The sequence below is a fragment of the Homo sapiens genome, chromosome 3 (assembly GCF_000001405.40).
Source record: "Homo sapiens chromosome 3, GRCh38.p14 Primary Assembly".
Classification (NCBI taxonomy): Eukaryota; Metazoa; Chordata; class Mammalia; order Primates; family Hominidae; genus Homo; species Homo sapiens.
Window position 1 is genome coordinate 58,211,775 of NC_000003.12, and position 24,998 is coordinate 58,236,772.

At 43.4% G+C, this 24,998-nt stretch overlaps 1 long non-coding RNA gene across 3 annotated transcripts, besides 7 other annotated features; it reads right to left on the minus strand.

Moving 5' to 3' along the window:
• LOC107986091 (uncharacterized) lies at positions 1,235-3,241 on the minus strand. Of its 3 annotated transcripts, none has more exons than XR_007095931.1 (3): positions 3,150-3,241; positions 2,528-2,729; positions 1,235-2,422 (listed from the first exon to the last, which is right to left on the minus strand). It is a non-coding gene; the product is annotated as an uncharacterized LOC107986091 (long non-coding RNA). The 3 variants fall into 3 exon arrangements; XR_007095932.1 differs by having other exon boundaries at positions 2,528-2,788; XR_007095930.1 differs by lacking the exon at positions 3,150-3,241 and adding an exon at positions 2,837-2,924.
• Positions 2,775-2,824: an enhancer, noted in NCBI's record as "active region_20003". NCBI's record gives its function as "activates an Ori minimal core promoter by ATAC-STARR-seq in GM12878 lymphoblastoid cells {active_cell/tissue: GM12878}" and the evidence as "EXISTENCE:reporter gene assay evidence [ECO:0000049][PMID:35858748]".
• Positions 3,015-3,074: an enhancer, noted in NCBI's record as "active region_20004". NCBI's record gives its function as "activates an Ori minimal core promoter by ATAC-STARR-seq in GM12878 lymphoblastoid cells {active_cell/tissue: GM12878}" and the evidence as "EXISTENCE:reporter gene assay evidence [ECO:0000049][PMID:35858748]".
• Positions 3,515-3,704: an enhancer, noted in NCBI's record as "active region_20005". NCBI's record gives its function as "activates an Ori minimal core promoter by ATAC-STARR-seq in GM12878 lymphoblastoid cells {active_cell/tissue: GM12878}" and the evidence as "EXISTENCE:reporter gene assay evidence [ECO:0000049][PMID:35858748]".
• Positions 5,329-5,832: an enhancer, noted in NCBI's record as "NANOG-H3K4me1 hESC enhancer chr3:58202830-58203333 (GRCh37/hg19 assembly coordinates)". NCBI's record gives its function as "activates a minimal SCP1, AML or CMV promoter by ChIP-STARR-seq in naive H9 embryonic stem cells {active_cell/tissue: H9 hESC(naive)}" and the evidence as "EXISTENCE:reporter gene assay evidence [ECO:0000049][PMID:30033119]".
• Positions 5,329-5,850: a biological region, named in NCBI's record as "NANOG-H3K4me1 hESC enhancer GRCh37_chr3:58202830-58203333".
• Positions 5,671-5,850: an enhancer, noted in NCBI's record as "active region_20006". NCBI's record gives its function as "activates an Ori minimal core promoter by ATAC-STARR-seq in GM12878 lymphoblastoid cells {active_cell/tissue: GM12878}" and the evidence as "EXISTENCE:reporter gene assay evidence [ECO:0000049][PMID:35858748]".
• Positions 5,833-6,335: an enhancer, noted in NCBI's record as "NANOG-H3K4me1 hESC enhancer chr3:58203334-58203836 (GRCh37/hg19 assembly coordinates)". NCBI's record gives its function as "activates a minimal SCP1, AML or CMV promoter by ChIP-STARR-seq in naive H9 embryonic stem cells {active_cell/tissue: H9 hESC(naive)}" and the evidence as "EXISTENCE:reporter gene assay evidence [ECO:0000049][PMID:30033119]".

Here is a 24,998-nt window from a genome sequence, read left to right on the forward strand (position 1 = left end):
AAAAAGCAAAATCCAATCAAGGTATATTAATGGACTTTGGCAAAGACAATTCTGTGAAAAGGGTAGGGAATAAGAATAACTCCAAGCCAGCATCGGGATCTGTGGACCAACCCCTCTTGTGGTGATGGGTCTGTGGCCACAGCCACAGGGAAAATTATACATATATCCCCAACATACATCCAGGCAGCATACTGGCCAAGCATGCCAGGAATTCTATAAGATAACCCCAAATAGTACATGGAAGGAAATGGTTTCCTGAGTTCGTGCTGCAATGAATCTCCCTGTTGTCTGCAACCTAAGACCTCAGGCCTGGTTGAATCTCTGGTAAAGGTGGCTCTGGGCCGGGCGCAGTGGCTCACTCCTGTAGCCCCAGCACTTTGGGAGGCTGAGGTGGGTGGATCACTTGAGGTCAGGAGTTCAAGGCCAGCCTGGCCAACATGGTGAAACCCTGTCTCTACTAAAAATACAAAAATTAGCCAGGCGTGGTGGTGGGCGCCTATAATCCCAGCTACTTGGGAGGCTGAGGCAGGAGAATGGCTTGAACTTGGGAGGCAGAGGCTGCAGTGAGCCAAGATTGCACCACTGCACTCCAGCCTGGGCAACAGAGTGAGATTCCATCTCAATAAAATACAAAAACAAAAAAAAAGGAGCTCTAGGGAATGGTTAATTGTCTTTCTTGGTGAATGGGCATCTTCCAACCAGAAAAAAGATTTAGAATTAAAGTGTAGAAATGTTTAAGAGACTCAGAGCCATGGTATACTCTTTTTGTGTGTTTTAAGATGGAATATGCGGTATTTCATGGACTTAATGAGAGCTGCTGGGCCAACTATATAGAAAATCTTGTAACTCTCTTATAAAATGTGCACTTGGTAGGGTTTGATTCAGGTTCATGACTTTACGTTGAAACCTTTGTCTGAATACAGTTCTGGAACATTTATAAACACTTTAGGTTATCATCAATGTTTTGTTTGTTTACTTTATTAGAATTCAAATGATTTAGTATTTTTTAAAAGTAGCTTTTTTGTTAGTTCAGACAATTGAAGAACTTTTAAAAGAAAATAGGGCATATTAAATAAAGTATAAAATGTTTATAAATTGGCCACAAACCCCTTATAAGTAATTATTTAGGTTTGTTGGGTTTAGGATTGGCAGATTTAACAAATAAAAATATAGAACAGTAGGTAGATTTGAATTTGGGGTAGTTCGTATTCAATTGGGCAACTTTTATTTTATCTGGAAATTCTAGCTGGATTTATAAAAAGAATGAGAACTTTTGTAAGCTGAACTTAAAAGCATGGCATTTTCTTTTTTTTTTTCTTTTAACAAAGTTTTTATTTTTAATTTTTGCAGGTACATAGTAGGCATATATATTTATGGAGGCATGGCATTTTCTAAGATAGTAATCATTCCATCAAAGTCCTAGAAAAGTTCTTAGTTCCTAGCATTAAAAACGAGCTAATGTGTAGAATAAAGAAAGTCAAGTAATCTGCTTTTTTTTAATTTCCAGCTTTGACAATTTGACTATGAACTTGAAAAAATAAAGTAAACCTCTAAATAGTGGTTTCTGCATAGAAACTGCCCTTGAGGACTTAAAAAAGAGTCACATGAACAGATTAAGAGATGGACCCCATTCTCGAATTAGCACATCCATTGAATGAAATTGGACCTTTTAAAAAATGCCTGGATTCTGGAAGGAAAATTCTAACGGCCAAATTTAACTGAATCCAACTAGGTTCAGGTGCTGCATTAGGGCTTTCTGTGTTTCATCTCATCCCATACCTGCCAAGCCCTTCCTACGGCTACTTTATTTTAGAGATGAGCAAAGTGAGGCTTGTGCCCAAGGAAACAGAGCTAGCATGTGGCAAAGCTGAGATTCAATCTCAGAGTGCTGACTCCAGATTAATCTTCTCACCCACTGAACCAGGCATACCAAAACCTTAATATGGAACACTCCAGGGTGCAGGGAGGGATGCAGGGAGGAGATGAAAGGAGGACTTCCACTTTTTACTCTATATACTTGTATATTGTTTGATTTTTTTTTTTTTTTGCAAAAACATGTACTTCTTTAGTAATTACAGAAAAAGAAAAAAGTGCTAAAATCTTTTCATTCTTTTAAGCAGGTTAAACAATGCCCATGCAAACACGTTTTCTGTCTTTGTGTGCAACTTGGTCAAAGGAAGCTTTCCCCTACCTCCAAGAGTCATTGACCCCACCTCCAGAAGGTTCACTCCAACCCCTCCATGTAATACTGGAGGACCCAGGGAAGGCAGAAACCCTGTCTCATCCTTCAGTTGGCTTCTCTTGCTGGGAATTGGGAATTTTGAGGCACTTGCCTAACGCCTGCTGACAGCCCCGGGGTCTCCATCTTCGGGATGAAGTTTCCTGCTCCATATACTTGCAAACACCAGTCTCTAAGATGCACCTGGAAGAAAAGATAAATATGCATCATTCTTTCTTGGAGATTTAGAATGCACATTAGCATATTAAATGTTCTGAAAAGTCCTGTAATTATAAAAAGCCGCTTAACTGTGTTGAAACAGGGTGTCCAAAATTTATTGTCTGTGGAGTCCTTTTCTTCATAGAATTCCTTGGACTATCTTGAGCAACATCCACTCTTGGGAATACTGTCCTTGATTGTGCAGTGACAATCAGATCCCCTCAAAGTCTCAAGCTCTTGTCCTGGTCAGTAAGTCCCTGCTGAAGAGCTCCATGCATGTCACATGAGTGGGCTGAAACGAGGATCAGGAGTTCAGTCACATGGCCCCCATACAGCCATCCACTATGGGCCCTGATGGGACAAGAGTCAGTGGAGAGTGATATGTTGCGCAAAGGCTACCTTGGAATTTGAGAAAAGCAAGATATGGAGATTTCAGGAGGAGCAAAAGTGTCATAGGCTGAGTCACCCAAAAGCAGCAAGAAGAAACAAGAAGTCTGTGGGAAAGTCTCCACTCCTGGCAGAAGACAAGCCTCGTGACCCAAACAGGTGTTTCCAGTGACTGATGCTGGTCTTTGTCCAAAAATGAATGAGCATTAACAATAATTTTGTAACATATGCAAAATGCTCCATCGTCATGTTTCACAACCAGCTTAGAGTTTGCGGGGAGGAAGGTGCATTAGTTAAAGTTGTGTAACTATGACAAACCTCTCACCTTTGCAGGGTTGTTTCCAGATGATGACACACTCTGGGTTTCAGCCTCACACACTATCTTCCACACAGGGCTGTGCCTGGACCTCAAGAGTCACTTTCTGAAGGGCAGGCCTGCTCTGATTAAAATCTTTCCAGGGCTTTTATTGGTCAAAGAGCAAACTTCTTAATGTAGCCTCTACCTGCTCACATTTCCCAGGTCATAACACTCTACTCCCCTCTTCCTCCCCTACTGGTCTGCCCTTGCACTGCCTGGCTTTCGGTTCCCCCCTCAGGGCCTTGGCACAGCTGTTCTCTCCGCCTACAGGGCTCTTCCTTCCTCCAGCCTCAGGGCTCAGCTTAAATGTCACACCCTCAGAGAAGCCCTCCTGGCCTCCTGACCCCATCAGGGTCTTCCCTCGTCTTCTCTCTCATGGTGCCCAGGTTTTTCACATCATGGCATGCATTGTAACATCTTATTATCTCTGAGCTTGTGTGTTTCCTTGTCTAAAGTTGTCTCTCCACCAGGCTGCCACATAGGGGCAGGGGGCACCTCCGTGTGTCTGTGCTGCCTGGAACAGGATTGTCATGTAGCAGCAGATGCTCATAAATCATTGCTGAATGCGACGTATGATACTCTAATGGACTCCAGAGACCAAGTTCTTTTTTTTTTTTTTTTTTTTTTTTTGAGACAGGGTCTCGTTCTGTCACCCAGGCTGGAGTGCAGTGGCACAATTTCAGCTCACTGCAGCCTCAATCCCCCAGGCTCAAGTAATCTAATCTTCCTACCTCAGCTTCCCAAGTAGGTGGGACCACAGGTGCATGTCACCATGCCTGGCTAATTTTTGTGTTTTTTTTGTAGAGACAGGATTCCACCATGTTGCTCCGGCTGGTCTTGAATTCCAGGGCCCAGGCGATCCTCCTACCTTGGCCTCCCAAAGTGTTGGGATTACAGGTGTGAGCCACCACGTTTGACCTAGAGACGGGGTTCTTGATCACAGTGTGGGTGTGGTACCAAGGGAACTCAGCTTCCCTGGAAGCCACGGGAACCCCCAGCCATAGAGACAAAATGTAATAATAACAAAAACCACAACAGTATCTACCTTTCATGGAGCACTAAGTGCTAAGTGCTCATGTAACTTTCTGACTCGGGAGCATAGCATAGAGCAGGCTTCTCAGCCTTGGCACGATTGACATTTGGGGCCAGATAGTACTTTGTTGTGGGGACCATCCTGTGCATTATTGGACACTTAGCAGCATCCCCTGCCTCTACCCACTAGATGCCAATCACATCCCCCAGTTGTGACAACCAAAAATTTCGACAGATGTTGCCAAATATCTCCGGGGGCTTGGGGGTCATCTCACGTCGGGAATGCTGATGACGTTAAAGCATATACACTTTTACTTACTGGCTGTTCAGCCCTGGACAAATAACCAAACTTCTCTGTGCCCTTTTCCTCACCTTTAACATGGGGTAATAGTATCTCTTACATGGTAGGGCTGTGAAAATTTAGAGAGGTTATAACTAAAGGGCAGACTCAGCACGGTGCCTGGCCCTCAGGGGTACTCAGTTGGGGTGATACTCTGTTTTCAGAATAAACTGCAAAGGAGCAATTGCTATCCTCATTTTACAGATGAAGAAATTGAGACTCGGAGATAAAGAAGTTGGTCTCCAGTTGCTGGCTGTGAAGTGACATCAAAAGCAGGCATTTGACTGGGTGCAGTGGCTCACATCTGTAACCCGAGCACCCTGGGAGGCCGAGGCAGGAGCCCACGAGTTCGAGACCAGCCTGAGCAACATAGCGAGAACTTGTCTCTACTAAAGATAAAAAAGTTAGCCAGGCATGGTGGTGTATACCTCTGGCCCCAGCTACCCTGGAGGCTGAGGTGGGAGGTTGGGAGGATCACTTAAGCCCAGGATTTAGAGGCTGCAGTGAGTTATGATTGCACCACTGCATTCCAGTCTTCTAGGCTGGGTGACAGAGTAAAACTCTGCCTCAAAAAAAAAAAAAAAAAAAGCAGGTATTTACGTCCTCAGGATTAATTCCTTTTGTCAGTCCTTTCTTTATAGGTACAAAAGGGCCTAATTGCAAACTCTGAGCTGGTGGCGATACGACTAATGGATTAGATCTGTCAAGACAGGACTAGGGCAAGGCGAATGAGACACTAGCCTTAGGCACAAAATTTAAGGAGTTACCAAATAACTCAGTAATCAAGCTAAATAACATTCAATGCAATATTTTGAAAAATCAAAAATTAATGAAGAAAAATCCATGATGAACAAAGTAACAAAGTAAAGACACGATCTGCCCCTGAACTTGTACTTGACCCTGTCTCATTAACCTCACCCTAATCTTGCCCTTGGAATTTGCAGATTTGTGAAACCACACCCAGTGGGCACAGCTGGCGGCCAAAGCCTGTCGGTGCCTATTCAAAGGATGACATGGGCGAAAACATCGCCCTCTTCTGTCTGGCAATGAGCACTGCTCCTCTTCTGGGGAGCCAGGTTAATCTTTGCCCCTGAAGGCAGCATCTCAGTGCTAGAAGTCTTTTCCCAGACCACAGTGCTTTTCTCCTTGATCCCTTCATGAGACATGTGGGTAAAAAGGTTGCAGGCAGTTCAAACGATGCCATTGGAGACCCCGCCTCATCCCTTGCCACTGGCCGCTGCACTGCCCTGGATCCATAGCCTTTTTCAGTACCACCCATGCCAACGCGCCAGGACTTGTCACCACGTGGGTGGCAGATCTGAAGCAGCCTGTAACTATCAAGTTGGCCTTTCCAGGCTGACCACAAGGGTGCATGGTGAGGACACAGGACCGAGAGGCAAAGGGCTTCTCACAGCGCCTGACGTGGGAACCAGCAGGGAGCTGGCTGCTGGCCGAACTACCGTTTCTTATTCTTCCTTTAATGGTTTTTGTCACTTCCTAGCTTCCTCTTATTTATATATACTTTACTTTTTATTTTGAAATAATTTCAAATGTGCATAAAAGTTGCAGAAATAGCACAAAGAACTCTTAAATACCCTCAACCCACATTTACCAAGGAACGTTTTGCCACATTTGTTTTGTCACTACTTTTCAATATTTACATATTAATTTTTTTATAAGATGGAGTCTCTCTCTGTTGCCCAGGCTGGAGTGCAGTGACGTGATCTCGGCTCACTGCAATCTCCACCTCCTGGGTTCAAGCGATTCTCCTGCCTCAGCCTCCCAAGTAGCTGGGATTACAGGTGCACGCCACCATGTCTGGCTAATTTTTGTATTTTTAGAAGAGATGGGGTTTCACCATGCTGGCCAGGTTGACTCTGAGACACAGGAAGCCGATCATAATTTAACAGCTTTTTTTTTTTTTTTTTTGAGATGGAGTCTCACTCTGTCGCCCGGGCTGGAGTGCAGTGGTGTGATCTCAGCTGACTGCAACCTCCGCCTCCCAGGTTCAAGCAGTTCTCCTATCTCAGCCTCCTGAGTAGCTGGAATTACAGGCACACACCATCACGCCCAGATAATTTTTGTATTTTTAGTAGAGACAGGGTTTCGTTATGTTGGTCAGACTGGCCTTGAATTCCTGACCTCAGGTGATCCCCCTGTCTTGGCCTCCCAAAGTGCTGGGATTACAGGCATAAGCTACCGTGCCTGGCCTTAACAGCTCTTAATAACAGTAGCTAACATTTATTGAGAGCTTGCTATTTGACACTCCTTTCTGCATTTGATTTGGGGGTATTTTCCCTTTGGAACATACTGTGTAGTGTGCTTATGTTGGATTAAAATTGTAGCGATACAGGCATGCCTTATTTTATTGTGCTTTGCTTTGTTGCACTTTGCAAATATCGCATTTTTTACAAATAGAAGGTTTGTGGCAACCCTGCATCGAGCTAGTCTACTGGCATCATTTTCCAACAGCATGGGCTTACTTCACGTCCCTTTGTCATATTTTGGTAATTCTTGCAATATTTCAAACTTTTTCATTATCATTATGTCTTCTGTGGTGATTAGTGATCTTTGTTGTTACTATTGTAGTCATTTAGGAGGCACTGCGGAACCATGCCATATAAATAGATAAATGTGTGTTGTGATCACCAACCAGTCACTCCCCCATCTCTCTTCCTCTCCTCAGGCCTTCCTCTTCCTTGAAACATAACAATATTGAAATTAGGCCAATTAATAACCCTACAATGGCCTCTAAGTGTTTGAGTGAAAGAAAGAGTTGCACATCTCTCAGTTTAAATCAAAAGCTAGAAATGACTAAGCTTAGTAAGAAAGGCATTTAGAAAGCCAAGACAGGCCAAAATCTAGGCCTCTTGGGCCAAACAGCCAAGTTGTGAATGCAAAGGAAAAGTTCTTGAAGGAAATTGAAAGTGCTACTCCAATGAACACATGAATGATGAGAAAGAAGAACAGCCTATTGCTGATGTGGAGAAAGTTTGAATGGTCTGGATGGAAGATCAAACCAGCCACAACATTCCTTTAAGCCAAAGCCTATTCCAGAGCAAGATCCTCCCCAACTGTCTTCAATTCTGCAAAGGCTGAGGGAGGTGAGGAAGCTGCAGAAGGAAAGTTGGAATCAGCAGAGTTCGGTTCATGAGGTTTCAGGAAAGAAACCATCTCCATAACATAAAAGTGCAAAGTGAAGTAGCAAATGCTGATAGAGAAGCTGCAGCAAGATATGCAGAAGATCTAGCTAGGGTAGGTAACTGATAAAGGTGGCTGCTACATCAAACGACAGATATTCAGCGTAGACAAAACAGCTTTCTATTAGAAGAAGATGACATCTAGGACTTTTTTAGTTAGAGAGGAGAAGTCAATGCCTGGCTTCAAAGCTTCAAAGGACAGGCTGGCTCTCTTGTTAGGGGCGAGTGGAGCTGGTGACCTTAAGTTGAAGCCAGTGCTCACTGACCTTTCTGAAAATCCTAGGGTTCTTTTTTATTTTATTATTATTTTTGAGACAGAGTTTCACTCTGTCACCCAGGCTGGAGCGCAGTGGTGCGATCTTGGCTCACTGCAATCTCTGCCTTCCAGGTTCAAGTGATTCTCGTGCCTCAGCCTCCCAAGTAGCTGGGACTACAGGTGCACGCCATCACCCCTGGCTAATTTTTGTATTTTTAGTAGAGACGGGGTTTTACCATGTTGGCCAGGCCAGGATGGTCTCGAACCCCTGACCTCAAGTGATCCATCTGCCTTGGCCTCCCAAAGTGCTGAGATTACAGGCATGAGCCACTGCACCCTGCCCAATCCTAGGGTTTTTGAGAATTATGCTAAATCTACGCTGTCTGTGCTCTACAAATGGAACAAAGCCTGGATGACAGTACATCTCTTTACAGTGCAGTTTACTGAATATTTCAAGCCCACTCTTGAGACCTGCTGCTCAGAAAAAAGGATTCCTTTCAAAATATTACTGCTCACTGGTAATGCACCTGGTCACCCAAGAGCTCTGATGGAGAGGTTCAAGGAGATGAATGTTGTTTTCATGCCTGCTAATACAACATTCACTCTGTAGCCCACAGATCAAGAAATTATTTTGACTTTGAAGTCTTATTAAGAAGTACATTTTGTAAGGCTAAAGCTGCCTTAGACAGTGATTCCTCTGATGGATCTGAGCCATCAATTGAAACTCTTCTAGAGAGGATTCAGCATTTCTAGATGCCATTAAGAACATTTGTGATTCATGGGAGGAAGTAAAATATTTACATTAGTAGGAGTTTGGAAGGAGTTAATTCCAGCCTTCATGGATTACTTTGAGGGATTGAAGACTTCAGTGGGAAAAGTCACTACAGATGTGATGTAAATAGTAAAAGAACTAGAAGTGGAGTCTGAAGATGTGACTGAATTGCTGCAACCTCCTGATAAAACTTGAACAGATAAGGAGTTGCTTCTTGCAGATGAGCAAAGACAGTGGTTTCTTTAGATGAAATCTACTCCTGGTAAAGATGCTGTAACATTTTTGAAATGACAACAAAGGATTTAGAATATCACATAAACTTAGTTGATAATGCAGGGTTGGAGAGGATTGACTCCAATTTCAAAAGAAGTTCTACTGTGGGCAAGATGCCATCAAACAGCATCACGTGCTGTAGAGAAATCTTTTGTGAAAGAGTCAATCGATGTGGCAAATTTCGTTGTTGTCTTCTTTGAAGAAACTGCCACTGCCACTCCAACTACCACTCTGATCCATCAGCAACCATCAATGTCGAGGCAAGCCCCCTCCATCAGCAAAAAGATTATGACTCGTTGAAGCCTGAGACGATCATTAGCATTTTTTAGCAATAAAGTATTTTTAATCAAGATAGGTACATTGTATTTTAGACATAATGCTCTTGCACACTTAATAAACTACAGTATAGTGTAGACATAACTTTTTTTCTTTAATATAGTCTTGCTCTGTTGCCCAGGCTGGAGTGCAGTGGCATGCTCATAGCTCACTGCAGCCTTCACTCCCTGGGCTCAAGCGAGCCTCCCGCCTCAGCCTCTCTAGTAGCAGGGAGTACAAGCATGCATCACCATGCCTGACTAATTTTTGTATTTTTTGTAGAGGCAGTGTTTTGCCATGTTGCCTAGGCTGGTCTCAAACTCCTGGGCTCAAGCGATCCTCCCTCCTTGGCCTCCCAAAGGTGTGAGCCACTGTGTCTAGCCAACATAACTTTTATATGCACTCAGAAACCAAAAACCTTGTGATACTCACTTTATTGCAGTGGTATGGAGCTGAGGCTGCAATATCTCCAAGGTGTGTCTGTAACAGTGGCTGTGGGTTCTGACCTGTGGTAGACCCATATTACACATCTTTACATGGACTCGGTCCTTTAAACCTCACAACTACCTGACTACTATTATTCTCTTCATTTTACTGATGAGGAAACTGAGCTTCAGAGAGGGCAAGTCACCTCTCCAGGTCTCACATCACATCTGGTAAGAGGCGTGGCCAGGACTGTTTGACACCAGAGTGTGACCACCTGGTCAGTCTCCTATAGCATTTCTTCTCTGGCACATAACAGTGACAAGGCCCTGCCACTATTCCAGCTCAGAACACTGAGAACAATCCATGTCCCTGACCCCAGATTCCCAGCAAATGGAAATGCTTTCTCTCCATATTCTGAAAGCTTCTGTGTGTCCCATACATACATAAGGAGCCTGAGGGCTTGGGGGACACCCTGGCTGTGAGCAGAGGGCCCCAGAAAATCATCTGTTGTTCTTTGGGAGAAGGCTTCCCTCCTGAATCATCATGCATTAGGCATGATCTATAAATTTATCTATAAATCTATCTAAAACCACACCAGTTCTAAAGACAAGGTTTGCAGTGCAGGTAGGAGCACGTGTAAATCCTTAACTACACAGTGACTCATGAATGATTTTCCAGGCAGGAATTGTTGGGAGCCAAAAAGGCCAAAGGGATTGTGACCAGCTCAGCATTCCACTGGACGCTATATGATCAAACAGCAAACTGTTTATCATGAATGCAGGATGTGAGCAAACTCACACTGCACCTGCCACTGAAAGGTTTGCTGAGGGCCAACACTCCCTGGGGGCCGGGCTCCTTGAAGTTATCTACTGAAAAATCTAGCACCTATCATACAAAGGATGCAGTCTTGCAAGCCTGCTGTGAACCAAATGGCCGACTGACAATTACCCAACAACCACCACCCCCTTTTCTCGTTATCTCTTTTACCAATAAATACGGAAGGCTGTGTAAAGCTCAGGGCCCTTGTCTACTAGAGGCAAGGTGTCCCTGACCCCTTCTTCCAAATATACTCTTATGTCTTTGTCTTTTATTTCCGCATTCCCCCTCTTTGTTCAGTCCACCAGGTCCGTGCAGGCTACAAGGAATCCCATTCCCAGGAAGGGATCTCCCCCTCCAGGGGCAGAGCCTACTCCAATTTCATTCCAGAACCAGATTTAGATGCAGGCCAAGGTCATTCCTATCATAAGACCTTAAAAAATCAGCCCTGGGCCAGGCGTGGTGGCTCACTCCTGTAATCCCAGCACTTTGGGAAGCCAAGGCAGGTGGATCACTTGAGATCAGGAGTTCGAGACCAGCCTGGCCAACATAGTGAAACCCTGTCTCTACTAAAAATACAAAAATCAGCCAGCCATGGTGGCACGTGCCTGTAGTCCCAGCTACTTAGGAGGCTGAGGCAGGAGTATCACTTGAACCTGGGAGGCAGAGGTTGCAGTGAGCTAAGATCTCACCACTGCACTCCAGCCTGGGCAACAAGAGCGAGACTCCATCTCAAAAAAAAAAAATTCAGCCCAGGAGATTTTTTGAAACAGCTCTTGGCCTGGGACTTGAGATCATTCTGAGCTGTGGATGTTTTTGTTTTCATAGAGACGGTATCTCCCTATGTTACCCAGGCTGGTCTCAAATTTCTGGGCTCAAGTGATCCTTCTGCCTTGGCCTCCCAAAGTGCTCAGATTACAGGCGTGAGCCATGGCACCTAACCTGCGCTGTGGGTTTTTGGATTTGTTGTTCACTCATTTAACAATTTACCCTTCTAAGTGTAGAGGGGGATACAAAGATGAACAAGACAGCTCCTGCCCTTGAGGGCCCAGAGTTGAATAATTAGTTGGACTTACCTTTGGTTTCACTGAGTTTTCTGTGCCTCTGAGCTATCATTCTATATCCAGTGGCCACAAAACTTGTCATGATTTTGAATTACCAATGTAAATCTTGGACTCAAACCATCTTGAGCTCCATTGGCCGCCAGTTTATCTGGACTATTATGATGTCTCTGGCTGAAGTGTTGGGGAGGGCAACTGACCATACTGGTTCCCTCAAACCTTAGTGGGGTTCCCAGGATGCTGAGCTTCCAATGCTAAATCAGAACAAGTCCTGAGCAAACCAGGATGAATTGGTCATCCCAGTGTTGGGAACAGGGGCAGCAGGAGGGGAACAGGTGGGTGGGGAGGAATTATAATAGCTAACACTTATTTTGCTTAATAATGTAATAATACTTAGAACAAATGTATGAGGTAAGTACTATCATAGCCCTATTTTATAGAGGTAAAACCGGGACCCGGAGAGAGGGAACAGCTTGTCACAAGTGTTCATTCTGTAAATGGCAGAGGCAGGCCTGACAGCCAATCCTGCGTTCCCATCCATTGCTCTGCACTGCCTTAGAGGCCCATGTGTAAAAATGCAGTGCAGATCAAGTCTTGAAACTGTGTTTGAAATTAATTCTCAGAGATTGGAAGTAGAAGTCTGTGGAAGCTTTGTTTCCATGGAGACCCAATCATACCCAACCACACTGTGTTCAAATGTAGTCACAACAGTGGGGAGCAGCCATCACTGAAGTGAGGTGCATTTCTCTTTTTTTTTTTTTTTTTCTAGATGGAGTCTCACGCTCTTGCCCAGGCTGGAGTGCAGTGGCATGATCTTGGCTCACTGGAACTTCCACCTCCTGGGGCTCAAGCCACCCTCCCACCTCAGCCTCCGGAGTAGATGGGATTATAGGCTCACGCCACCATGCCTGGCTAATTTTTTTGTATTTTTAGTAGAGACGGGGTTTTGCCATGCTGGCCAGGCTAGTCTCAAACTCCTGACCTCAAGTGATTTGCCCACCTCAGCCTCCCAAAGTGTTTGGATTACAGGCATAAGACACCATGCCCAGCCAAAGTGAGGCACATTTTTTAAGGAAGAGACTTGCAGTAGAAATTTCCTAAGCTTCCCCAACATGCGTTCTATCATTCGTGACTTCAGTGGAGCCTCCATGGCCGACTGCAAAATCTAAGTCTTGGGCAAAGTCCCAGGAGATGCTCATCAGGTCCCATGTGATATACTGAATTTTGGAGATGATTTCCTACCTACCAGTTGCTAGCTATGTGACTTGGGCAAGTTACCTAACCTCTAAGCTGTTTCCTCGTGGTTAAATGGTGTAGGTAATAACACATTCAACGGCTGTGGTGAAGATGAAGACAAACGGGATGATGCAAAAAAAAGCCAGGTCCAGAGCAGGGAATGAAGAAACGTATGCTAGCTGCTCACTGGCATCGGCCCAGCCTATGTCTTTAAATGAGAACAATCCCTTTGAGAACTAACAGGAAGGCGGGGTCTGTTCTCCACCGCCACCTTCTCCTTCTAGCTTTGCCTGCCCCATCTCTCCCTACTCTGTTCCAACCTGCATCCCACTTCTGACTTTTGGGTCTGTTCCCAACCATTTTTGTGCCCCTGGAAAGAGATAAGAAAACTTGGTTCCTCCTATTCCTGCCCCCACTGGGTACCCCATACTCCCAGTCCACAGAATCCCAACCTAGACACTAGGTCACTGCCTGACGGGTAACCAGACTTTTATCCATCCATACACATGGATAACCCAGCTCCCCACTTGACCTCAGCAGCTCAGAGAAGAGAAGAGATGGGAACAGATGAGGATGCATTGTCCTTCTGATAGACTAGGTGAGTGAGAAAGCATCATGATTAAATGGCACAATGTGGCATGAATCTTTGAAAGTTTCATTCAGATGTTCAAGTTCAAGGGGCTAAATGGTGGGGTACATAAAGGCCCCAGGAGAAACCAGGGAAAGTCAACAGGGAGAGGTCTTGGTGCAATGACATGGGTGATACAGATGCTGAAATGAAGCCTGTGAGACATTCAGCAAGAAGCCTTGGAGAAATGTGTGTTTTCTTAGCAAGAAAAACTCGACCCTACGTTCCCACACACGTGCAAACACCCGCTGGCAGCTGTCACCCATCGATTCCCTACCTGCATTTAGGGTCTTCATAATCTCTTTCACAACTGACCTTCAATTATTCAAAGGTAGTTTTCAGGCCCTCTGAGGACTGGGTGAGCTCAAAAAATGCTTGGTGTATAAACAGCAATGATGCTGAGAGCTAGCACGATGCACGATGCCTCTGTGCCAGGTGTAGTGCTAACTTTTAAAGGCATTGTTCAGCTCGATCTTCTCTGAAGTCCTGTGAGGTTGGTATTATTATCAATTCCTCATCATCATCCTCTGTTTATAGATGAAGAAACTGAGGTTTATTTTATTTTATTTTTGAAACACTGTTTTCCTCTTGTTGCCCAGGCTGGAGTCCAGTGGTACAATCTTGGCTCACTACAACCTCTGCTTCCTGGGTTCAAGTGATCCTCCTGCCTCAGCCTCCCAAGTAGCTGGGACTACAGGCACCTGCCACCACACCTGGCTAATTTTGTATTTTTAGTAGAGAAGGGGTTTCATCATGTTGACCAGGCTGGTCTCAAATTCCTGACCTCAGGCGATCCACCTGCCTCGGCCTTCCAAAGTGCTGGGATTACAGGTGTGAGCCACCGCTCCCAGCCAAAACTGAGGTTTAGGTAGTCAGATATCTAATAAGCAGCAGAACAGGACTTTACAATTTAGCACCATCTTCACCTGAGATATGTTCAAGTGACTGGAACGTGTGGAGCTAGTGTCTCTGCCTCTGTCCTGCCACTTGTTGTTTTATGGCCAGCCCAGTGGCCATTACTCCCAAGGTGGCACTCAATCCCCATTTCCTTGGTGTGCTGTATCTCCCCTAATCTTAACCCATGTGGTTCATGTGAAGTAGGGAAGAATTTCTTAAGACATAAAAAACACCAAACATAGAGGATAATTTGACTAAATTATCAACCTTTCCAAATTCCTATGTTTTAGGAGTGTCTCTTGAAACAGTGTCTCTTGGGTTTTTTAAATGCAATTTGACAATTACTGACTAACTGATGAGTTTAGTTAGTTTACATTCACTTTGATTATTGATATATCTGGACTTATTTTTACTATCTTTTGTCTTACTTTTTTGTACACTTCTTTGGGGTTGATTGGTATTTGTTTGTTTCTTATTGGTTTTTGTCATTTCCCGTTTCTACTGATTTGAAAGTTATATATCTTATTTATATTATTTTAGCAACTACCATTGACTTTTTTTTTTTTTTTTTCCTGAGACAGAGTCTTGCTCCATTGTCCAGGCTGGAGTGCAGTGGCACAATCTCGGCTCAACTGCAACCTCCGCCTCCCGGGTTCAAGTGATTCTCCTGCCTCAGCCTCTGGAGTAACTGGGATTACAGACACGTGCCACCACACCTGGCTAATTTTGTATTTTTGGTAGAGACGGGGTTTCACCATGTAGACCAGACTGAGCTCAAGTGATCCACCCACCTCAGCTTCCCAAAGTGCTGGGATTATAAGTGTGAGCCACTGCGCCCGGCCCCCATAACGACCATTGACATTTTGCCACATATATTTGACAAAGACCAAAGTTAAATCTCCATCCCCTTCCCACACAAATGCAAAGTTGCTCAGAACACTTTAACTCCAATCACCTCTTTCCTAATTTACTTTTGCCCAGTGTTTTAATTCTGTTCTTTAATTCTGTCCTAAACTCACAAATTACATATTACTGTTCTCATTTTTATTTTTTTGTACTGACAATTTTGTTTAGATTTATTATACTTACCAATTTTTTTCACTCCTTCCATCTCTTCTTAATGGGATAATTTTTCTTTTTTCTGAAGTACATCTTAGAAGTGCAAGCTGGGTGTGGAGGCACAGGGCTGTAGTACCAGCTCCTGGAGAGGCTGAGGCAGGAGGATGGCTCCTTGAGCCCAGGAGTTCGAGGCTGCAGTGAGCTATGATGGTACAACTGCACTCTAGCTGGGAACCTATTACTGTAAGGGACCTGTCTCTTAGGAAAAAAAAAGTTAGTCAAATTATCTTAGTTTTTATTTGTATTTCACCCTCATTATTAAAATGCTGGGTATCCAATTCTCAGGTCTTTGAAGATACTGTTTCACTATCTTTTGGTTTCTATTGTTGCCATTGGGAAATCTGGCGACAATCTAATTTCTTCTTTCGTGAGTAATCTGCCAAAAAAAAAAAAAACCTCTAGCTGCTTATAAGATTATTTCTTTGTTTTTAGTGTTCTGCAGTTTCACTACAATGTTTCTTATTATTTACCCTCCTTTAGATAGATTGTGCTTCCTGGCTGGGTGAAGCAGCTCACACCTGTAATTCTAGCACTTTGGGAGGCCAAGGCAGGCAGATCGCTTGAGCCCAGGAGTTGGGAGACCAGCCTGGGCAACATGGCGAGACCCAGTCTTTACAAAAAAAATAGCTGGGAGTGGTGGTGTACGCCTGTAGTCCCAGCTACTTGGGAGACTGAGATGGGAGGATTGCTTGAGCTTGGGAGGTCAAGGCTGCAGTTAGCCATGATTGCACCACTGCACTCCAACCTGGGTGACAGAGAGAGAGACCCTGTCGCAAATAAATAAATAAATAAATAAATAAATAAATAAATAAATAAATAAAGATATGTTGTCCAACAAAGTTCTGATATCCAGAATCTACAAGGAACTCAAACAAATTAGCAAGAAAAAACAAACAATCCCATCAAAAAGTGAGCTAAGGACATGAATACACAATTATCAAAAGAAGATATACAAATGGCCAACAAAAACGAAAAAATGCTCAACATCACTAATGATCAGGGAAATGCAAATCGAAACCACAGTGTCATACCACCTTACTCCTGCAAGAATGACCATAATAAAAAAAATAAAAAAATAATAGATGTTGGCGTGGATGCAGTGAAAAGGGAACACCTCTACACTGCTGGTGGGAATGTAAACTAGTACAACCACTATGGAAAACAGTGTGGAGATTCCTTAAAGAACTAAACGTAGAACTACCATTTGATCCAGCAGTCCCACTACTGGGTATCTACCCAGAGGAAAAGAAGTCATTATACGAAAAAGATACTTGCACACGCATGTTTATAGCAGCACGATTCGCAATTGCAAAAATGTGTAACCAGCCCAAATGCCCATCAGTCAATGAGTGGATAAAGAAAGTGTGATATAAACACACACATACACCATGGGGTGCTACTCAGTCATAAAAAGGAACAAAATAATGGCATTCACAGCAACCTGGATGGAATTGGAGACCATTATTCTAAGTGAAGTAATTCAGGAATGGAAAACCAAACATCGTATGTTCTCACTCATAAGTGGGAGCTAAGCTATGAGGATCCAAAGACATAAGAATGATACAATGGACTTTGGGGCCTCGGGGAAAGGGTGGGAAGGGGGTGAGGGATAAAAGACTGTACACATTGGGTGCAGTGTACACTGCTTGGGTGATGGGTGCACCAAAATCTCTGAAACCACCACTGAAGAACTTATTTATGTAACCAAACACCACCTGTTCCCCAAAAACCTATGGAAATGTTAAAAAAAAAGATATGTTGTACTTCCTAAATCTGTGGAGTCACGTTCTATTTCCTGCCCTAGAAATTCTCAGCCATTTCCACCTCAAATATGGCCTCGCCTTCCTTCTCTCCATCTTTCACACTAATTAAATAAATATTAAACCTTCTCAGACTATCCTTCATATTCCATAACGTCTTTTTCATATTTAGTCATGTCATCACTCTGTGCTGAATTCTGGAGAATGTCTTCAGATCTGGCTACCAAATCAATTGTCTCATTAGCTGTGTCTTACCTGTTGTTTCACCCATCCTTTGGGTAAGGATGGATCAAAGAAAGAATGAATATCTTTCACGTTCTTTGATATCTATTCCTTCAACTACAAAATAGATATTTTATTTTTAAAATTTCTATTTGTTCCTTTAAAAACATGTCTAATCATTTAAGAAATATACTGCTGTTTACTAATTTTTGTGATTCCACCTTTTATTTGTGCTAACATTACATACATAGTTTATAATCTAATAATTCTATATGCAAATATAATTATAAAATTATATATATTTGCATTATAAAATTCTAAATATTTGCACGTATTTCTTTATGCAAGTTAAAGAAATTAATGCAAATTAAATAAATACATAGAAATATATCTTTATATACAAAGAAACTTGGGGACTGTAAATTTGTTGTTTGCCCTTACTGCTGACCTTCTTCCTCTCTCTCTCTCTCTTTCTGTCTCATTGTGACTCATTTCTTTGTGTGTGATGGTGATATTGGTTTTGACTTTATTGTTAAGAATATATTTGTATTTAAGCATAACATACATATAGAAAATTGCACGTAAGTATATAGTTTGAGAAATTTGCACAAGTGAATACACTTGCATAACTACCACCCCAGATAAAGATATAGAATAATTACTGGCACCTCAGATATCTGCCTCAAGCCCCCTTCCAGTCATTTCCCCCCAAAGGCAACCACTTCTAATTTTTAACATCTTAGAGTAGTTGTTCTGTTTTTGAACTTTATCGAGTGAGCTCATACAGTATCTGCTTCTTTGTGTCTGGCTTCTTTCAATAAGCTCGTATGTGTTGAATTATGATCTATGAGAATCTTGGGTGGTTTACAGAGAACATCCTTCTTTGAACATGCTTGTAGTGAAGTCACACCAGCATCTGGCACTGCCATAGCTCATTTGAGGGTCCCGGCTAAACATGGAGCTTTCAGGTTCAGCTCCTCAAAGTTACAGCTGGCCAAGTTTAGTCTCCCAATATTGTTTATGGGTACGATATACACATTTGTTCTCAGGACAACACTGCATTTCACATTTATTTGTTGCTTACTGCCCCCTACTCTTATTTTGATACATGTCAGCCCAACATATGAAAAAGTCTGTTTTATCCAGAATAGAGATGAGTTGAGAAGGCTGCATCTGGTCTACCATATGCTGAGATACGATTTGGATTTTTTTTTTTTTTTTTTGAGATGGAGTCTTGCTCTGTCGCCAGGCTGGAGTGCAGTGGCATGATCTTGGCTCACTGCAACCTCTGACTCCCTGGTTCAAGGGATTCTCCCACCTCAGCCTCCAGAGTAGCTGGGATTTTAGGCACATGCCACCACGTCTAGCTAATTTTTTGTATTTTTAGTAGAGACAGGGTTTTACCATGTTGGCCAGGATGGTCTCGATATCCTGACCTCATGATCCGCCCACCTCAGCCTCCCAAAGTGCTGGGATTACAGGCATGAGCCACTGTGTCCAGCCTCCAATTTGGATTTTAAAAGCTTAAAGGTGGGATGGTGAAATTTCACCATAATGTTTTTGGCGTATTCCAAATTATTGAAGCAGTTTTGAATCTCAATTTTCTTCCTAGCTTTGTTTAATTTAAAATTTAATGAGAAGTCTGAATTTGTGTTCATCTCAATTAAAAAAAAATTTCAAGGAGAGAGAACTACAGCATTTTATTAGAAAATTGCTTCCAGGCAGGACATGGTGGCTCAGGGCTGTAATCCCAGTACTTTGGGAAGCTGAGGGAGGAGGATGGCTTGAGGCCAGCAGCTCAAGACCAGCCTGGGCAACATAATGAGATGAAAGAAAGAGAGAAAGAGAGAGAAAGAGAGGAAGGAAGGAAGGAAGGAAGGAAGGAAGGAAGGAAGGAAGGAAGGAAGGAAAAAAAATTGCTTTCAGTCTCATTTTGTCAGATTAAACAAAATTGGGCCACTGTTGTTTAACCTTCTATGACTTCACCAAACTGATATTTCGAAGTCTAAATTACTTCATCTTCTCCATAAACAGATTATAAAATGCTTTGTCCAAAGCCTACTACAGTCAAGATTCTGTATGCAATTTCCTGCAACAGTCTCCAGGTCTATTTATGCTAGTAACTGTGAAATATTATTCCTTTGGTGTGATCATTCACAGGGAACCCAAATGAGCTCTTGTACTTAACCTCTTTTGTTTTAGTTTAATAATCAGGTGCAGAACTTTGCTAAAAATCAACACCATACCTCTTGGTCTCGAGATCTGTTTATCAGTCTTTCTCCTTTATTTGAAATGGGACTCTCACTCGTTAAAATCTTCTAGCATAATTTATCAAAGATCACTGAATATGTTTCTTAAGATCAGATCTAAATATCCTTTTAGTATCTTGGGCAGTAATTTCTCTTGATCTGGTAATTTGAACTAATTTAAATTTTTGTGTGCTCTTTCTCCATCTTTTCTTCCTATCCTGAGCTCAGTTTCCCTCTTTGTGATATTTTCACCTGATCAAATCTTTTTCCATGATCAAGATGATGTAATATAGGAAACCGGTAGTTTGGCTTTCCCTCTGCCATCTGTTAACATTCCATATGCTCCGTTCCTTTTGCATTCATCATTTTTATCCTAATTTGGTTTTACATTAACCTTTTCCTGTCTTTAGCAGTGGAGTCCCAATCATTCTGGGTGTTAGTATCCCTCACCTCTTATTAAAGGTCCAGGTTAATCTTTTGGAAAATTTCCATCACCTTCTGTCTTAGTCCATTTTATGTTGCTATAAAGGAATACCTGAGATTGAGTAATTATTAAGAAATAAGGTTAGGCTGGGCACGGTGGCTCACGTCTGTAATCCCAACACTTTGGGAGTCTGAGGCAGGAGGATCACCTGCGGTCAGAAGTTCGAGACCAGCCTGGCCAACATGGTAAAACCCTGTCTCTACTAAAAACACAAAAATTAGCTGGGTGTGGTGGCATGTGCCTGTAATCCCAGCTACTCGGGAGGCTGAGACAGGAGCATTGCTTGAACCCAGGAGGCATAGGTTGCATTGAGCCAAGATTGTGCCACTGCACTCCAGCCTGGGCAACAGAGCAAGATGCTGTCAAAAAGAAAGAAGGAAAGAAAGAGAGAGAGAGAAAGAAAGAGAGAGAGAGAGAAAGAAAGAAAGAAAGAAAGAGAAAGAAAGAAAGAAAGAAAGAAAGAAAGAAAGAAAGAAAGAAAGAAAGAAAAAGAAAAGAAAGAAAGAGGGAAAGAAAGAAATGTAGGTTTATTTGGCTCATAATTCTGCTGGCTGGAAGGATCAAGACTGGCCATGTGATGAGGGCCTCAGTATGCTTCCTCTCATAGTGGACATAGAAGCAGAGCATGCAAGTGTAGAGATCACACGGTAGAAGAGGAAGCAAGAGAGAGTAGGGAGTTGCCAGGCTCTTTTTATATACCAACCAGCTCTCACGGGAAATAATAGCTTACTCACTACCCCATCCTGTCAAAGGGCATTCATCTATTCATGAGGGATCTGTCCCCATGCCCCAAGCACCTTCCATTAGGCTCCACTTCCAACAATGGAGATCAAATTTCTACATGAGATTTGGTGAGGTTCAACAAACCATATTCAAACTACAGCATCTTCCCACTTCTTTTCAGGTGCTTGGCAAGCCTGAGCTTATCAGAGTGCTGCAGGTGCAGTGACACTGATCTCTCAAAGTCCTCCCTTTCCTTCCCATCCAGGACACTCTCTGGCCTAGTGCTATGCTCAACTGGCATTTTCAGTGAATGAATCAATATAGTAGGAATTACAGTCTTAGAACTTCCTGATTAGTGAGTCCTTTCTATGATTATATACTACATATGACATGTGTTGACATATGTTGACTTGTTGTCTTGTGATATGTTCTTATTACTTAACTCTTGCACTGATGTTCTTTTTTTCAGGTGTATATAATTTAGACTGTTCTCCTTAAAGGAAGGGGTAAAATTGTATCTACCATAGCTTGGGTCCTATGCATAAGTAAATGCTTGTAAACATTTAATTCACAAATAAATGAATAAGCAATATTTTAAGGCATTTGGAAAGAAATATTTTTAGCCTAAAAAAGTTATTACTTCATAAAATGCTCAGTACAAGCTTTTTAAGGTGAGATTTTGTTGTATTCTTCTTATTTAATTCCATTACTTGTCATGGCAGCAGGTGGCTGAATGGTTAGAATATAGATTTTGTGCTCAGACATACAAAACTTTGTTTGAATTCTGGCAGTATCGTTGACTAGCTGTGTGACCTTGGTGATATGGTTTGGATGCTTGTCCCCTCCAAATCTCATGTTGAAACGTGATTCCCAGTATGGGGGTGGGCCTAATGGGGGTGTTTGGGTCATGAAGGCAGGTCCCTCATGAATAGATTAATGCCCTTTGGTAGGTAGGGGTGGTGGGTGAGTTCTCATTCTATTATTTCCCAGAAGAGCTGGTTGTTACTAAGAGTCTGGCAGGTGACTGGATCACAGGAGCAGACGCCTCATGAACGGCTTAGCATCATCCCCTTGGTGATGAGTGAGTTCTCAGTCTGGCAGTTCACATGTGATCTGATTGTTTAAAAGAGCGTGGCACCTCCTTTCTTACTCTCTTTTGCCCTCACTGTCTCTTGCTCCTGCTCCCTCTTGCTCCCACTGTCTTGCCTGGTGACACACTGGCTCCCCTTTACCTTCCACTGTGATTGTAAGCTTCCTGAGGCCCTCATGAGAGGCAGATGCTGGCACTATGTACAGCCTGCAGAACTGTGAGCCAATTAAACCTCTTTCCTTAATAAATTACCCAGTCTTGGTTATTTCTTTACAGCAATGCAAAAACAGACTAAGAGGCCAACATGGGGAAATCTTGTCTCTACTAAAAATACAAAAATTAGCTGGGTGTGGTGGCAAATGCCTGTAATCCCAGCTACTCAGGAGGCTGAGGCAGGAGAATTGCTTGAACCTGGGGAAGTGGAAGTTGCAGTAAGCCGTGATCGTGCCGCTGCACTCCAGCCTGGGCGACAGAGTGAGTGAGACTCTCTCAAAACACACACACACACAGACTAAGATATTTGGATAGGTGATTTAACACATTTGGGTAGATTTGAGGCTCAGAAACTCTCTGAGCCTCAAAATGTTCCTCATTTGTAAAATAGGGCTAATAACAGAGTGGTTGGGAGGAATCCATGAGATAATGCTTGTAAAGCACTGAGCACAAGGTGAGGAACACAGGAAAAGCTCAACACATGGTAGCTAATTAACATTTGCCTGTTCTGTGCTACTCATCATGCTTTTCCCTGGGGAGATGGAAGTGGAAAAGGAATTCACAACTCCGTGGAGTTGAGAGTTGCCTAAATAAATAAACATATCGTCATGTATAATGTGCTACAGGGGTGTGGACGATGGAAAAATTAATTTTGCCTGGATAGTCAGGTAAGGCTGCTGGGAGGCAGTGATACTGGAGTTCCAGATTGGGCAGAGGCCTCAGGGATTGGCTCAGAGTTGTCACACAGCAAATGCTTGGGGAATAGATGGTACGAATGACTCATAAGCTCAGGGGTGCTGCCCAGCTGGTGTCTGTGTACACATGGTATCTTGTGTTTTTTGCTTTTCTCCTGCACACATTTCCATGTGCTGACATGGCTTTTGTGTGATTCCCTCACAGCTTGTGTGTGATTCCCTGATTAAATAGCTTCTAATATTTTATTATTATAAATAGACTCTAAGTCCTTGAGGGCAAGAAGTGTGTCTCTGTTCATCCAGACAGTACCTAGTATGTAGTAGGTTCTCAGTAATGTTTGCTACATAAATGAATGAGTGAACTCCTTTGACCGCTGGCCCTGCCATAAGCTGGCTGTGGGATCTTGAGTGAGTCCATTAACCCCTCTGTACCTCGGTGTGTCTGTAAAGTGGGTTAGTATAACTCACAGGTGAGCATATTTCACTATGTGTTGTGAGGACTAAGTGATTTGATGCCCTGCGGCTGAAGGTAGTAAGTGCGCATTAAATAATGGCATCCTTCAGCTCTGATAGCTGTGCTGCTGCATCCAGGAGACATGTACAGGCTTCATGGCAGAGTGAATCCTGGAGTGTTCTGCTGCAACTGCTGGCAGAGGAAAGGTTTCAAAACTCTTTCTTAATGCTAGGGTGAGACCTGTCCACTGATAAGGAGTTTCTATTTGGGATGACTAAAGGTGCCATCTGGAAAGTACCAGGCCCCTGGGACTGCTCCCTGGTCTCCCACCTAGGTGGGATTCCTCAGTGACAGCACTCAGGGGTATCACCGGCTCAGGGAGGGGCCGGAGGTGAGTTCCCTTATCTCCTCTTGCCTCCTTCACTGTAAAACTGGAGCTAATAAGGTTTCTCTCCTGTCAGCCATCCAGTGGAGATAAGTCACCCAGAATGTGACTCCCACATGGGGCTCAAAAAGGTGTTTCTAAATATAAAACTCTGAGGGAAAAAAACCCTCGGGATATAGAAATTCCAGGCCCTTGGAGACGCCCAGGGTCACAGGCTGTGAGTTAAATAAAAAACCCACCAAACTGATGAACTACCCATTTTTAAGGTTTTGGAGAGGGAAAATTAAAAGACTAAGGAGCAATTGTTTTAAACTTTATACCAGGTGTATTGATGGCTTCTAGGCTGGGGCCTTCCAGGAAGTCATTCATCAATTTCATTGTCTATTTATTCACCCCCTGGACTCCTGTTTTGGTGAATGTTCCTGAGTCCAAGATGCTAATCCAATAGGTGGCCAGTAGTGACTGAAGGACATTTAATCCCCACATTTTGTGCTATCTCTGTGGACCTGCTCTGGGGATGTTGGTGGACTGCTGGCTTGGAAAGGTTCTGCTTCAGCCGTAAGGAGAGATAAAGCCAGAGAGGTGGGACTGAGCAACCCGCTGTTTGGTGAATAAATTGCCACTGAAACTCGGGGGCCATTCCCTGAAGTGAATCACATGCAGCCATTGAAGTCTAAGTGATAAGGCAGCCAACAATTTAAAGGAAAATGCTCCAGCCCAAGCCAGGGGGACTGTCCCAAACTCCGGATGAATTCCAGCTGCCCTGCAGAGCAGGGTTTACAGGCATGGGGATCACTAGTGGCTTCAGAGATGCCCCTTTGCCACTTCTCCGGGACTTCTTGACTGTGTCCTATTCTTAAAACCCAGGACCTGCACCACTCAGCCAGGCTCCACCAGCGTGGAGGCCTTGGCAGGCTGAGGCCCAAAGGCTGCCTTTGTGGGGGATTTAAACGGCCAAGAGAGTCTTGCTGAGCCCTGGCCCCTTGACGTCTGGAGTGGCAGGCCAAGCACTCAGTGCAGCAGGAAGATCTGGGTGCCACTAAGGCCCCTAACAGGTGTAGTAAATATCTGTTAAATGAACGAATACATGTTTTGATGAAAGAAGCCCACAGTGCAGTGTGAGCCCAAAGGGGTCTTACTGAAGGCTTCCTGGAGGAAGTGGCAGCTAAA